Here is a 12,360-nt window from a genome sequence, read left to right on the forward strand (position 1 = left end):
CAACAGCACAAACAACATTAAGGGGAATAAAAGCTAAGATGCACGGACGTATCGGTGACACAGCTAGTGCTGTGGGCACCCGGGAGACGGGGGACCGAGGTACGGTATCCAAGGGAGCGAATCAGTCCCATCGCACTGGCCTGGAGCTGGGTGGGGTGAGTGTGGGAGCCGCAGGTCTGCAGCGGTCCCCCAGCCACACTCTCTGCCTGTCTCCGCCACCCATTGCTTGGGACACTTCCCAGCACCCTGTCCCAAGAGTGGGCTGTGAGGAAACAAGATGTGAGTAAAGCCTGGCCTGCCCATGAGGAATTTCCTCCCTCAGAAGGTAGTGGCTGTGGGTTGGGTCCGTCATCTGGCCTCATGCTTAATCATTTCACTCCAGCATGGGAAATATTATGATTACCTGTCCTTCTTAAAAAGGAAAACAACTTCCCTGTCCAGGCCACTTTTGAAAGCTGGAGATTCTAGGGGTAGTGCCTCAGACAAAGCATGTAGGCTCCTGAGTGATTTCCCCCAGCTGCCCTCGTTTGCATTTGGATAGAGCTTGGTTGGAGTTCCAAGGGCTGATGCTGGGAACCTTGCTCTGGATGCGAGGCCTGCCCCTGGAGGGAGCCGCGGAGGACTGGCAGCTGCAGATGCTGGAGCAGGCCAGCCTGTGGCTGGGCCGTAGCTTCCTGCTGGCAGGCTTCCTGGTATCGAGCAGCTGCCCCAGCCTGGAGCAGGCGGCCAAGGGTGAGGGCTGTTCCCCCATCCCTTGTTTCGCCCACTGCCTCGACTCCCTGGTGAGAAACTTTCTGTGTCACCCTCACAGTGTCCAGATCATCCTGGGCACTGCCAGGGCCACCTGCAGCCATTTCTAAGGCTCTGTGGAGGCCCAGGGACTCCTCACCCAGCTCCAGCGCCAGCGCAGCCTCCTAGCCCACCAGCCCTTTGAGGAGCTCTTGGACCACTGGGTCTCGGCCTACCACCTGCTGGAGTGGCTGGTGGAGCAGCAGCAGCCCCTTCAAGAGTACAAGGGCAGGCACCAGCTGGGGAAGGCTGGTGTTGCCTTGTCGGCCACATTCTGGAGCCCGGCAGACAGCCTCAGCAAGCTCCTGTAGCCCTTCCAGATGGTGGTCCGCGAGGCGAGTGCGGCACAGGCCTCTCTGAGCCAGGTGCTGCCCCAGCTGCGCTACCTGCACATCTTCCTGGAGCAGGTTCACACACACTTTCAGGAGCAGAGTGTCGGGGAGAGGGGCGCAGCCATCCAGCTGGCTGAGGGGTTGGCCCGGCAGCTCTGCACCGACTGTCAGCTCAACAAGCTCTTCTACCGCGAGGAGTTTGTGCTGGCCACCTTGCTGGACCCTTGCTTCAAGGGGAAGATTGAGGCCATCCTGCCATGGGGGCCGACCGACATTGACCACTGGAAGCAAGTCCTCGTGTACAAGGTGAAGGAGATTAGAGTGTCTGAATACTCTTTGAACTCCCCAAGTCCCCTGCAAAGCCCCAGGGGTCTGTGCGTGGACCCCACCAGGGTAGCCAAGAGCTCCGGGGTGGAGGGGAGAAGCCAGGGGGAGCCTCTGCAGAGCAGCAGCCACTCTGGGGCCTTCCTGCTGGCCCAGAGGGAGAAGGGCTTGCTGGAGAGCATGGGGCTGCTGGCCTCTGAGAGAAGCGGGGGCTCGCTGTCCACCAAGAGCCACTGGGCCAGCATCATTGTCAAGAAGTATCTGTGGGAGAATGAGACCGTTGGAGCCCAGGATGACCCCCTGGCTTACTGGGAGAAGAAGCGAGAAGCCTGGCCACCATCTATCTGTCTTACCCCCCACAGGAGCCTTCTCTGAAAGCATCTTTGCCTCCCTGAACAGCCCCACCCTTGTAGAGCAAAACTCTTCTCTCAAGGTGGAAGCCATTGAGCATCTCCTCTTCTTGAAGGCCAACCTGGAGCAGTTCCCCAACTACACCCCGCCTCCCCTCATCTGCTCTAGTGGTGACCTGGCCAAGGGGATACAGACCCTGCAGTCCGCTCAGGGTGGGATGGCAGACATGGCAGGTGCCGGTGCTCACCCTGCCCGTGAACTCCTAGAGAGCCCCTGCCTGTAATAGGTCAAAGCAGAGAGCTGGGTGTTGCATCCTGGGCGCCACATGCTCATGGCCAGAATCTTAAACCTATTTGGTAGGAAAGGGTCAGTTTCTCACTTGACAGATTGCCATATTTTTTTTTCTGGGAGATGTCATTTTCCATCTCCCGATTACTTCCTTTACGTCTAGCAGTATGTGCCGAGAAGAGGCTTACTCTCTTCGTAGGTGACTGTGAATTTTGTACTACGTGGCTTTGTACATGTGATGCTCTGTTAAAACATAAGTGGGTATGAAGGTCCTTGCATACACCTTGTCTGTGTGGATAAGTGGACACATGCCCTTAAGAGGCTTGCTTTCTCAAAAAGTGGCCAAGGATGTGGAGTGGGCATGTGCTGGCAGGTGGGATATGTCCTCAGCCTTTGGGGGCCTGGATAAGCTATTGCAGCACTTTCTGAGGCTTTCACTGTAGGGAGAAGGAAACCCCAAGGGTAGAATAGCCATTTCCAGAGGGAAGTACACACATACCCCCACACACCAGTCTTTTTGGGGGTTTCAGAGTGGCCGGAGAAACCGACTGAAGGGACTGACCAGCTAGCTAGGAGAGCTGAGACGCCAGTCCTCAAATGGCGTTCTTACCAATAGTCTATTTCCAGACTACTGGAAACGTTGGGGTTTCTTCCTCCAGTGACAGCAGCCTCAGTAGCTTTCCTGGGCTCCAGGCGGCTGGCTGCACACCCTGCCTGCCATCACCCTTGCCCCTGCTTGTCCTGGACCACTTTTAAAGGGGAAGTCCCTTATTTGGAAGAGAGAAAGGATGTGTGTAGCACACACTCATCATGGATTGCTCAGAGTTCCTTTAGGGCAGAGCTGAGGGCCTGGGATCCAGGAACCAGTGGGATTGGATGGGAGAAGAAGGAAGGGGGTGGCCCGTCACCCCCGCAAGACTTGCATCCAGGTAGCCTAAGGACTCCTGGTCACTGGGTAGGGTGGCTGCTGAGATGCAGGTCGGAAGAGGCAGGGGAAGGCTCCAGGCCTAACTTGGAGCATGTCACTGGCCATGGGGGTGAGGGGACAGACTCTGCTCTCACTGGCTGGCAGCCCCAGGAGCCTGTTCCCTTGCCTCTCCTGGATGGGTTGTCAGCCCTGTGTTTCACTGTGACCAATTCATTATAACATTTGGATATTACTGAAAATGTAAGGAAGCAGGAAAAATTAACTACTTTCATTCAGAGATAGCCTCTATCAATAGTTTGACATTTTTCCCTCTTTTACATTGAGATCATACCCTAGGTACTGTTTAGTATGCAATATTTTCATTTTCGCAGTATAATAATTGCACCTGTTAAATAAAGTTTTGTAAACATTTAATAACTGGAGTAGTATGATTTGCATTAAAGTCTGGCCTCCAGATTGCTTAGATCACTCCACTACCTGTAGCACTAGGTGTGGGAGTGGGGTGGTGGGGACACATTCGCAGGTGATAGGGGGCCGGATTTGTCTGGGGGAGGGGCCTCACTACTGCCCCTGGCTCCAGAGCAGGGATAGGAGGGGCAGGGCTTGCTGGATCTCTCCCTGCAGTGTCCTGTACCTCACTCGCAGGATCCTGACTCACATGTCGGGGCGGGGAGGATCCGAGAATGTGATGCATCCTCAGGTTGCCTTGGGCAGCGTGCGTGACTGTGCTTCCATCCTTGAGCAGTTGGAACTGTTCTTGGAAGTGGCATTGTGGCTCTGCTGTGTGGCATCACCGAGCGGGCTCATGTTCTGGGAGAGGACTGGGAGGCCTAGAATGGTGAGGCAGCGAGGCTCGGGAGAAGAACGTGAGAAGATTGGGTGAGGATGAAAGGAAGAGGGTGAGAGAGCTTGATGGCACCGAACCAGGGGGCTTGGGCTCTAGAACCTTCACTTTCATCTAGGCGCAGTTTTGTCCCCCAGTGGACATTGACAATGTCTGGAGGTGTCTTTAGTTGTTCCAAGTGGGGTAAGGGGAGTGGTTCTGTTGGTGTCTAGTGGACAAAGGCCAGGGATGCTGCTCAGCACCCTCCAATGTGCAGGACGGCCTCCACAACCAAGGCTCAGCCTGCCCAGATGGCAGTAATGCCAGGGTTGGGAAGCCCTCTTCTAGAGCGTTAGAGCCTCCAGTCCACCCGAGGCTGCTCTGGGTTGAAGCGTTCCTCCCCCTAGACTTAGCTCTGCCCTGTGGGCCTCATTTCCCAGGCAGAAGACACTCACCAACGCCTGGGACCATCTTCCCTGGTTCTCAGTCAGCCTCCCTCAAAGGGCCCAAGTGCCATCCTTGTCACCAGTCCTCTTTCCAGACTCTGTTGCTGGGCCAGGAGGTCTCTGTTCCCTTCATTTCCATAGTTAGGACAAGGACGGCTCCTTCTGGAGGAGTGCTGAAGCAGGTGGACGTGCGGGAAGCCATCCTCCTTGTGTCTGCGGGCAGCCTGATGGTTAGTTGGGTCTGCACAGGTGGGCGCCGGCTGGTTCTCAGTCCTACTGGGCTACCTGTTTGCAGTGTGCAGGTGATGGACCAGAAACACAGCAGAGGTCACTGACCCCCAAGAGAATGAGGGTTATGCACGACCCATCACCAAGACCCAGGCCTGCATCTGGTGAGGGCAGGACGGGGCCACACTGGTGCAGGGCTGTGTGTTGGAGGGCAACAGGGAAGGGCCGATTTCTGTCCCGGTGGGGTCTTTCTGCTCCGTTTCCTCTTCTGTAAACCATGTTCCTGGTGTGAGCATGCACAGTTGCCTGCCTCTGTCTGCCTGCTTCTTTGCTCTCTCCCTTTGCTGAGCCATCATCTCCATCTAAAAAGCCACTGACCCAGTTCCTCAGGGCATTCACTTAACCTCTGCAGTCCCACTGTGGCCTCACCTGTGCCCAGGACTGCTCATCCAGTGGCTGTGTCTCCAGCCTCATCTCGTCTGAGTCCAGTGGGGCGTCCTAGTAGTGTTGGTCTCACTCCTTAAAAGCCTTCCGTGTTCTCCTCCCTCTGGCTGCTTGGCAGAATCCTTCACAGACTCGTTCATTCAGCCTCGTAGGTCAGCCTCCACCTCTGCTGCTCGTGCATAGGACATCTTCCACATTCACTCCTGAAATAGCGGGTGGGTGGGAGGGGTGCCTGCTCCTGGAGAGAGGCCTGCGAGTTCTTAGAGAGCTCTGTATCCCCAGCATGGTTGGCCCCATGCACTGCATGCCCTCCTTGATGCCAGCTGCCATCTCCCTGCTGATGGTGCCTGGATCCCTCCAGCCTGGAGCTCCAGCTGCCTCCTGAGCCCCACGCCACACTCACTCAAGCTGAGTGCTGTGTAGCTGGATGTCTTCTTGTCTCCAACCTGTCCCACCTGCATTTCACATGTCTGAGAAGGGAGCCCCGGGCCGGGTGTGGTGGCTCACGCCTGTAATCCCAACACTTTGGGAGGCCGAGGCAGGGGGCATCACCTGAGGTCAGGAGTTTGAGACCAGCCTGGCCAACATGATGAAACCCCGTCTCTACTAAAAATACAAAAATTAGCCAGGCATGGTGGTGGCGGGTGCCTGTAATCCCAGCTACTTGGGAGGCTGAGGCAGGAGAATCGCTTGAACCCAGGAGGCGGAGGTTGCGGTGAGCCGAGATCGCGCCATTGTGCCATTGCACTCCAGCCAGGGCAACAAGAGTGAAACTCTGTCTCAAAAAAAAAAAAAAAAAAGAAAAAAAGGAGCCCCTGGCATACAGTCACCCAGCAAGATTCCCCAGTCGTCCTAGGCTCTTTTTCCTCCTCCCCATTGCTTCCTGCCCTCCTTAGGGCCTGTATCTTTTGTTTTCACAGCAGACAGGTTTCTAGTGCCTGGTGCTCCTCCTGCACCCCCCACGTTAGGGGCCAGAGCAGCTTTAATCAAATGCAAAGTTGATTGCATCACTCCCTGTTTACAAACCCCAAAAGATTCCATTCCCACTGAGGGAATCCACACTTCTTGGCAGATGCTTCCAGTCTCTTTTGGAAAGTATATATAAATATTTGAGGTATAAATAAAAGAGAATGAGCTGGAATGTTGCAGACTAGAAGGGAGCTAGATAAGGAAATGGGGGCCATAAGCACAAGGACTCCCCTTTCCAGATGGGGTGTAGAGGACATAAGGATGGCAAGACCGTTTACATCCTCGCCAGCTCCCTGGTTGGGAACATAGTAAATATCTTTGTTGATGGTGTGGGAGGAGCTAAGTGGATCAGGCTCTGGGCCTGGTTTCCTTGGAGAGGGGAAAATGAAAAGTGTTGATATGTAAACTCAGTCACCGACACCCTGCATCAGATCTGCAGGGCAGGCATCACCCCGCCGGCCTGGGTGAGACTCCTGGGTCTGGGCCTGGCCAAAGTCTGCCAGGTTGGGAAAGCTGCGCTTGGAAGAGGTCTGTTATTTTCCTCACTGCTTAAATCTTGAGGTCCCTCCACCAGGCCACCCCTGCTTTGTGCCACAGTCATGCGCTGGCACCTGGACTCACCTGGTCCTGCAGCCCCTGGCAATTTGATGTGCCCCTCCCGGCTTTCTGGAGCCACCCTTCCCTCCCTCCAAGACAGCCTGCCCTTTGGGAAATTTATGTTGTCTTTGCAGCTGGCACCGTGCTGTCTGGCACGTATATCAGTGCTGTTCCATTGATCTGTCCAGCTGAGTCCAGAGCAAAAGAGCTAGCTTTGGCGGGCAGTGAAGTGAGAGCAAGGGTGTGCGACCTAGCCAGGCCACTTACCCCAGCCTTCCCTGTCCCTTCACTACCTTGACCTCAGTTTTCTCCTTCAGGACTAAAGGCCAACTTCTTATGCTCTACAGCTCCAACCAGAGGTACCAGCTGACCCATATAATCTGGAAACAAGTTTGAATTCATTGCTGTTAGAAAGAATTGCAGTAATACTGAGTGAATCAAACAAGGCACATGTGCTCTCGTTTGCATTGCATATACATTGATTATCCCAGAAAGAAAACAAAAGAAACTGGTGATGGTGGTTACCTATTGCCTATTCAAAAATAACGGTTTAAAAAACACCCCAAAACTAATAGGGATGGATCGTGAGTGGTTACGGAAAAAGTAAAATAATGTTTTGCCCCTAGTTTGGATTTGACAGGAAGAACTGGTAATATTGGGCCTGAATCCATCCAGCATGGCCCTAACCAGCCAGGGCCAGTCTGGGCTGCTCCCCTTGGGTTGGGCCTGCACCCCATCCCTGTCACTCAGATGGCTTTTGTGGCCTGTGTCCCAGCTTGGTCTTCAGGTCTTGCCTGGCTGAGATTGTTGGTTTTCATGGTAAAAGCAGGGTCAGACTCCCTGCCGTCACCTGCTGCGTAAGACACAGAAAGTGCTGCCTGCTGACTGACTGTCTCTCCTCAGGGACTGGCTGGCTTCGAGCAGGGCATCGGAACCAGGCCTCCTGGCACTGGCCTGGGTAGAGCCAGGGCGAGCACCAGCTGACCCCCAGTGGAACCCTGTGACAGTCCTGCCAGGGCCCAGGCCATCCCAACCGACTTCCATCTCATGGACCCTCCAGCGGAGAAGCCGGGAGAGGCTGGCGGACTGCAGATCACACCCCAGCTGCTGAAGTCACGCACAGGCGAGTTCTCCCTGGAGTCCATCCTGCTACTGAAGCTGCGTGGCTTGGGACTGGCTGACCTGGGCTGCCTGGGAGAGTGCCTGGGCCTGGAGTGGCTGGACCTATCAGGCAACGCGCTCACCCACCTGGGCCCGCTGGCCTCCTTGCGCCAGCTAGCTGTGCTCAATGTCTCCAACAATCGGCTGACGGGCCTGGAGCCACTGGCCACCTGTGAGAACTTGCAGAGTCTCAATGCCGCAGGCAACCTACTGGCCACCCCGGGCCAGCTGCAGTGTCTGGCTGGGCTACCGTGCCTGGAGTACCTGCGGCTCCGAGACCCTTTGGCCCGGCTCAGCAACCCGCTCTGTGCCAACCCCTCCTACTGGGCTGCAGTCCGGGAGCTGCTGCCTGGCCTGAAAGTCATCGACGGTGAGCGTGTGATTGGGCGTGGTAGTGAGTTCTACCAGCTGTGCCGAGACCTGGACAGCTCCTTGCGTCCCAGCTCCAGTCCAGGCCCCAGAGCCACCGAGGCCCAGCCCTGGGTGGAGCCAGGCTACTGGGAGTCCTGGCCCAGCCGGAGCAGCTCCATCCTGGAGGAGGCCTGCCGGCAGTTCCAGGACACACTGCAGGAGTGCTGGGACCTGGACCGCCAGGCCAGCGACAGCCTGGCCCAGGCGGAGCAGGTACTCAGCTCTGCGGGCCCCACCTCTTCCTTCGTCTTCTGAACGTGGCCTATGGCCCAGGACAGCCTGGCAGGTGGCCTCGCTGCCCCCAGTTCCCCTCTCTGCCCCCACACTCGTCTTAGTTGCTTCACACTGGTCACTGGCCCTGCACACTGGGCTATTGCTTTATCCCTATCCTGAGAGCAGCCCCTCCCCACCATCCCTCCACATGCTGCAAGGACAGACTGAAGGGCTGTGAGCAGGTGTAAGGGCTCCCACATCCGTGAGCCTGTGTCCGCAGCTGCTGCCACTCTGGGCTGCTCCAGCCTGCAACTTAGTGGAAGGAATTACTTCCTCCTGAGGCTACAGGCGAGAAAGGTAGGGATGGGCCAGCCTCCCGTCTCAGCTGTTGGGAGACAGTAGGCAGGCTGAGTGGCCCAGAGCACTCCTGGAAGTGGGACTCCCCTGCCTTGCAAATGTGCCTCTCCAGACTGCTCCTGCACTTACCCCCTCCCCGCAGCACCTTCTCTGCCCGTTCTTGTCCACACATCTATTAAATGCTTCTGTTTTCATTTGCATCCCTGCCTGGCATTTCATGGGGGCACCTCTGGCTCTGGAGCACAGGAGGCTCTGCTCACCCTGCCCACAGGAAGGGGTCCCAGAGGAAGGGTCCTGTCCCCCTGCCCTCTCTGGCCGCCTCTGAGCTACGCTAAGGAGGAAGTCGTGCAACACAAGGAGCTGAGAGGCAGCTGGGAGAGCAGCTTTATTATCATGGCTGGGGATAGAACGGGTTCCTCTCCCTGGGGGCTGGGGTCTTCCACTGGTTACCACCCGCAGCGGTCCTGGAGGCACCACGCATCTCTAGACAAAAGGGGAAACAGGTTTGGGGGTGAGGGAGGTTGCTTCAGCCCCAGTCCCAGCTTTCCTCCCAGGCTTCTGACCTGTCCCCTCCCAGGCTCCCAAAGCCCAGCCCAGCCCCTCAGCATTCCCAGGGCTGGCCTCATCCAGACGGTGCTCTCAGCCCCCTGGTGCCTACCAGTGCTGGCTTAGCTGCGGGGCAGGGCCTTGGAGAAGGCGAACTGTCCAGGGAAGTAGAAGCTGTGGGGGTCCTCACCAGCCCGCTGCACCCTGAGGCACTGGGTCTCCTGGTGCTCCTCAGCCTCCTGCCAGTGCCCAAAACTGTTCAGGCAGTGTAGGAGGGGTGGGCAGTGCCAGTGGAGGGCTGCCAGCATCCTCCACATCCCCTCCACATCCCTTGGAGAATGTCCAAACAGGCACAGCGCTTTCTAGCCCCCACTGCCCTCCCTCCTGCTTGGCCAAGCTTTAGCCTCGAGACCAGCCCATAGGCTCAGCTTCCATCCATCTTCCCAGCCCTGTCACCACCTGTGCACCCTTGCCCCTTCTTACCCGCAGAACTTGGGTCTCTATGGGGCAGTGGACCAACCGGCCCAGAACTTTGTCCTCAGAGCCCAGTTTGATGCAGGCCAGGCATTTCCGTTTCCTCTGTGGGGGAGCGGGGAGCATGGGGTGAGCAGAGGAAAAGGGTGAGGGAGGCCTGGGCATCATGAGGGTGGGAGCCAGGGCTGCCCATCATGGGACCAGATCCCCAACTAGGCCCTCGAGCCCAGGAGCAAGAGGTCATGCAGGCCAGCAGGTTTCAGGCACAGCCACCCTAGAATGTCAGAAGTCAGACCCATGCAGTTTTCAAACTATGGAACTTTCATGTGTGTGCAGGCAGGAGTCCTTCCCAGATGGGTTGTGTGGCACATGCATAAACACGCATGTATGTGGTTTGTATGCAGGAGTGTGGGTGGATGGGTGTGTGATGTATGCATGGATGTGTCTGCTTGTGCTCGTGTGAAGGCAAGAATCCTCCTCCGATGGGTTCTTCCCACCCAACGCCTCCAGAGTGGCTCAGCTGTCACCTATTCTATTTATTTTCTTGTAAGATTTGATTTTGAGGTTGATGAATCATTGCTATAGTCCAGTGCCCTCCTTGAGCCGACAGAGGGAACTGGGGCCTTTGCAGAACCTGTAATACAGAGCCCAGGCCGTGCTCACAGAGCGGGAACTAGAACACAGTCACTGCACTCCCAGCCCAGGCATCACCCCCACGGTGGAAGGTTTGCCCCCACCGTGACTGATGACTGGAGTCCTGCTAGGCTAGGGGGGCACCAGACACACCCACACAGCCGGCTCCTTCCACCCAGGCCCTGATGCTTGAGAGAGGAACTCAGACCGAGGTGAGCCCTGCTCTGATGAAGATAAGTCCAGGGGTAACCAAACCATCTTCCTGTCTGCCAGGCCCCAGCTCCCACCAGCCACTCTCACAACCTTGGGCTCAGGCTGAGCCACTCCACCTCTAAGGAGGCTCTTCGCAGTGGGGTCTCTAACCTCAGGGCTTCTTAATGGACCTCCCAATTCATGCATGCACACCCAGGCATGTGCCCCACACCCCAAACCCCAAGTCCATGCACTCACACCCAGCATGCGCCCATTGCTCTCACACCCCTTCACTCACCCCATTGGGCCTGACTTTGCACTCGGGTTTCTTCCAGTCCCTCTTCCGGCAGCTTGTCTGCTGCAGCTTAAATTCCAGCCTCACAAATATTCCAGCTGGGAAGGGCTGCGGACAGACAGGCAGGCAGAGGATGGCCGGTAGCCAGCTGAGGGTGCAGAGCAAGCCCTGGTGTGATCCGCACCTCCCTCACGCAGTCACATTCCAGCAGGCTGGACAGTGGCCTTTTCTCCAAAGGGCTGGGGCTCAGAGCCCAAGCACTTCTGTCCCCCTTCGTGGGAATGCGCTGGTCTCCTGGGGTACGACCCTCCCCGCTCCTGCCCGGGCCATGCTACTCACCGTGTCCACGGCGCTCTCCACACTGGTCTCCTGGAAGGCCCACTGCACGGGCGGGTGCTTGTGAAATTCCTCCAGGGCCACCTGCAGGCCCCGGCGCTGGGCTTCCGTGAGCTCGGCGACGCCCACGCCCACCGCACCCAGCCACAGGGCCAGAGGGATCAGCAGCCGTCGCATGCTTCCGTGTCACCCTGGCCCTGCGAAGCGGGTGTGCGCCCCTCAGCTCTCCGAGCCAGCCCGAGCCGCCTCCTCCCGCGCCCTGCTCTGGGGGGAGGGTGGGGAGCGGGGGCGGGGTCCAGGCCTGTAGAACGCTGGGCACAGGTGAAGGAGCCTGGAAATGGCCCTTTCTCCAAATTGACCTTAGGGTCCGCCTGGCCCTCTCCGTTCCCTCCCACCCTGCCCGCGCTGTTCCCTGGGGCCTGCAGTTTTAGCAAAGTTCCCTGCCCACGCTAGGAATCAGTCAGTTCGCACTCCCACCCTACACCCCTAATCTTGCCCATTGTGTCTCTCCCTGGGTCTCCGGCACGACCCACTCTCCTCCCTGCCGTCCCCGGAGCCCCTCTCTCCTTTCCCCGCTCAGCCTTCTCCCCAACCGCTACTCCCTCCCCGTCCAGAATCCCCCTGCTCCCACGGGGTTCCCCCCACGTCCCCGAGGTCCAGGCCAGCCGGGGGAAGGGGCAGGGGCCGGAGGCCGAATACTTTTGGGAGGACCTAAACACGTGGGAGGGTCCGGACGGGTGGGAGCGGCGGGAGGCCTAATCCTCCCGGCGCGGGGGCTGCCGCGGGCCACCAGCCAGCCCCAGTCGCTAGGAATGGGGGTCTCGCGCCGCCCAGCCCTTGGCTTTCCCGCTTCAGGCAAAATCTTCCCTCCTTCCTCTTTTTTCTGGGGCCTTCCCCACGACCCCTCTTCCTAGCCCTTCTGATCCGTCCCCTGATGCATGACTGGGGCCACCGGAGGGGCTGACCCTCCCGGAGAGCCCCGTCGGTCCTGGTGGTCTTGGGACCGGAGAGCGACAGATGTGGAAACCGAGGCCCCTCAGTGAAGAGCTGCCAGGGTGGTCGCCTTAGAGCAAAGGCGTTCCTCATTCCGCCTGCGCAGCTGCCCCTCCGCCCGGCTGCCGCCCCAGCCCGCTTCCCCTCCTCACGTCCTTCCCTGCGCCTGGAGGTCTCCCCTGACCGTCCCGCAGCTGAAATCTTGGCCTCGCTGTCCGCCTCTTCCCGCT

General features: G+C 57.9%; 2 protein-coding genes and 1 pseudogene across 7 annotated transcripts in view, besides 2 other annotated features; 2 read left to right on the plus strand and 1 right to left on the minus strand.

The window, feature by feature from the left end:
• The window catches only part of LRRC61 (leucine rich repeat containing 61), a 28,658-nt gene extending 19,797 nt beyond the window's left edge, over positions 1–8,861 (plus strand). For all 4 annotated transcript variants that reach the window (NM_001363434.1, NM_001363433.1, NM_001142928.2 and 1 more), the window contains one exon: positions 7,423–8,861. In NM_001363434.1, the coding sequence (NP_001350363.1) occupies positions 7,567–8,346 (780 nt within the window). In that variant the 5' untranslated portion in view covers positions 7,423–7,566 and the 3' untranslated portion in view covers positions 8,347–8,861. The remainder of the gene's footprint in view (positions 1–7,422) is intronic.
• On the plus strand, positions 888–3,426 carry ZBED10P (zinc finger BED-type containing 10, pseudogene; annotated as a pseudogene). Its single transcript, NR_173326.1, has one exon. The product of NR_173326.1 is annotated as a zinc finger BED-type containing 10, pseudogene (transcript).
• Positions 7,165–7,459: a silencer, noted in NCBI's record as "tiled region #1750; K562 Repressive non-DNase unmatched - State 15:Elon". NCBI's record gives its function as "represses a minimal TATA promoter and a strong SV40 promoter by Sharpr-MPRA in K562 cells {active_cell/tissue: K562}" and the evidence as "EXISTENCE:reporter gene assay evidence [ECO:0000049][PMID:27701403]".
• A 172-nt stretch (positions 8,862–9,033) lies between the features above and the next one.
• RARRES2 (retinoic acid receptor responder 2) lies at positions 9,034–12,334 on the minus strand. 2 transcript variants are annotated; one of them, XR_007060121.1, is made up of 6 exons: positions 12,283–12,334; positions 11,141–11,334; positions 10,805–10,909; positions 9,691–9,786; positions 9,320–9,462; positions 9,034–9,144 (listed from the first exon to the last, which is right to left on the minus strand). XR_007060121.1 is itself a non-coding variant. In NM_002889.4 (6 exons), the coding sequence occupies exons 2-5, from the start codon at positions 11,312–11,314 to the stop codon at positions 9,330–9,332; spliced, it is 492 nt and encodes a 163-aa protein (NP_002880.1). In that variant the 5' UTR covers positions 11,315–11,334; positions 12,283–12,334; the 3' UTR covers positions 9,034–9,144; positions 9,320–9,329. The 2 variants fall into 2 exon arrangements, 1 of the variants encoding a protein (NP_002880.1); NM_002889.4 differs by having other exon boundaries at positions 9,320–9,446.
• Positions 11,373–11,442: a silencer, noted in NCBI's record as "silent region_18774". NCBI's record gives its function as "represses an Ori minimal core promoter by ATAC-STARR-seq in GM12878 lymphoblastoid cells {active_cell/tissue: GM12878}" and the evidence as "EXISTENCE:reporter gene assay evidence [ECO:0000049][PMID:35858748]".
• Positions 12,335–12,360: the final 26 nt, after the last annotated feature.

Source organism: Homo sapiens, chromosome 7, assembly GCF_000001405.40.
Source record: "Homo sapiens chromosome 7, GRCh38.p14 Primary Assembly".
NCBI classification, from domain to species: Eukaryota; Metazoa; Chordata; class Mammalia; order Primates; family Hominidae; genus Homo; species Homo sapiens.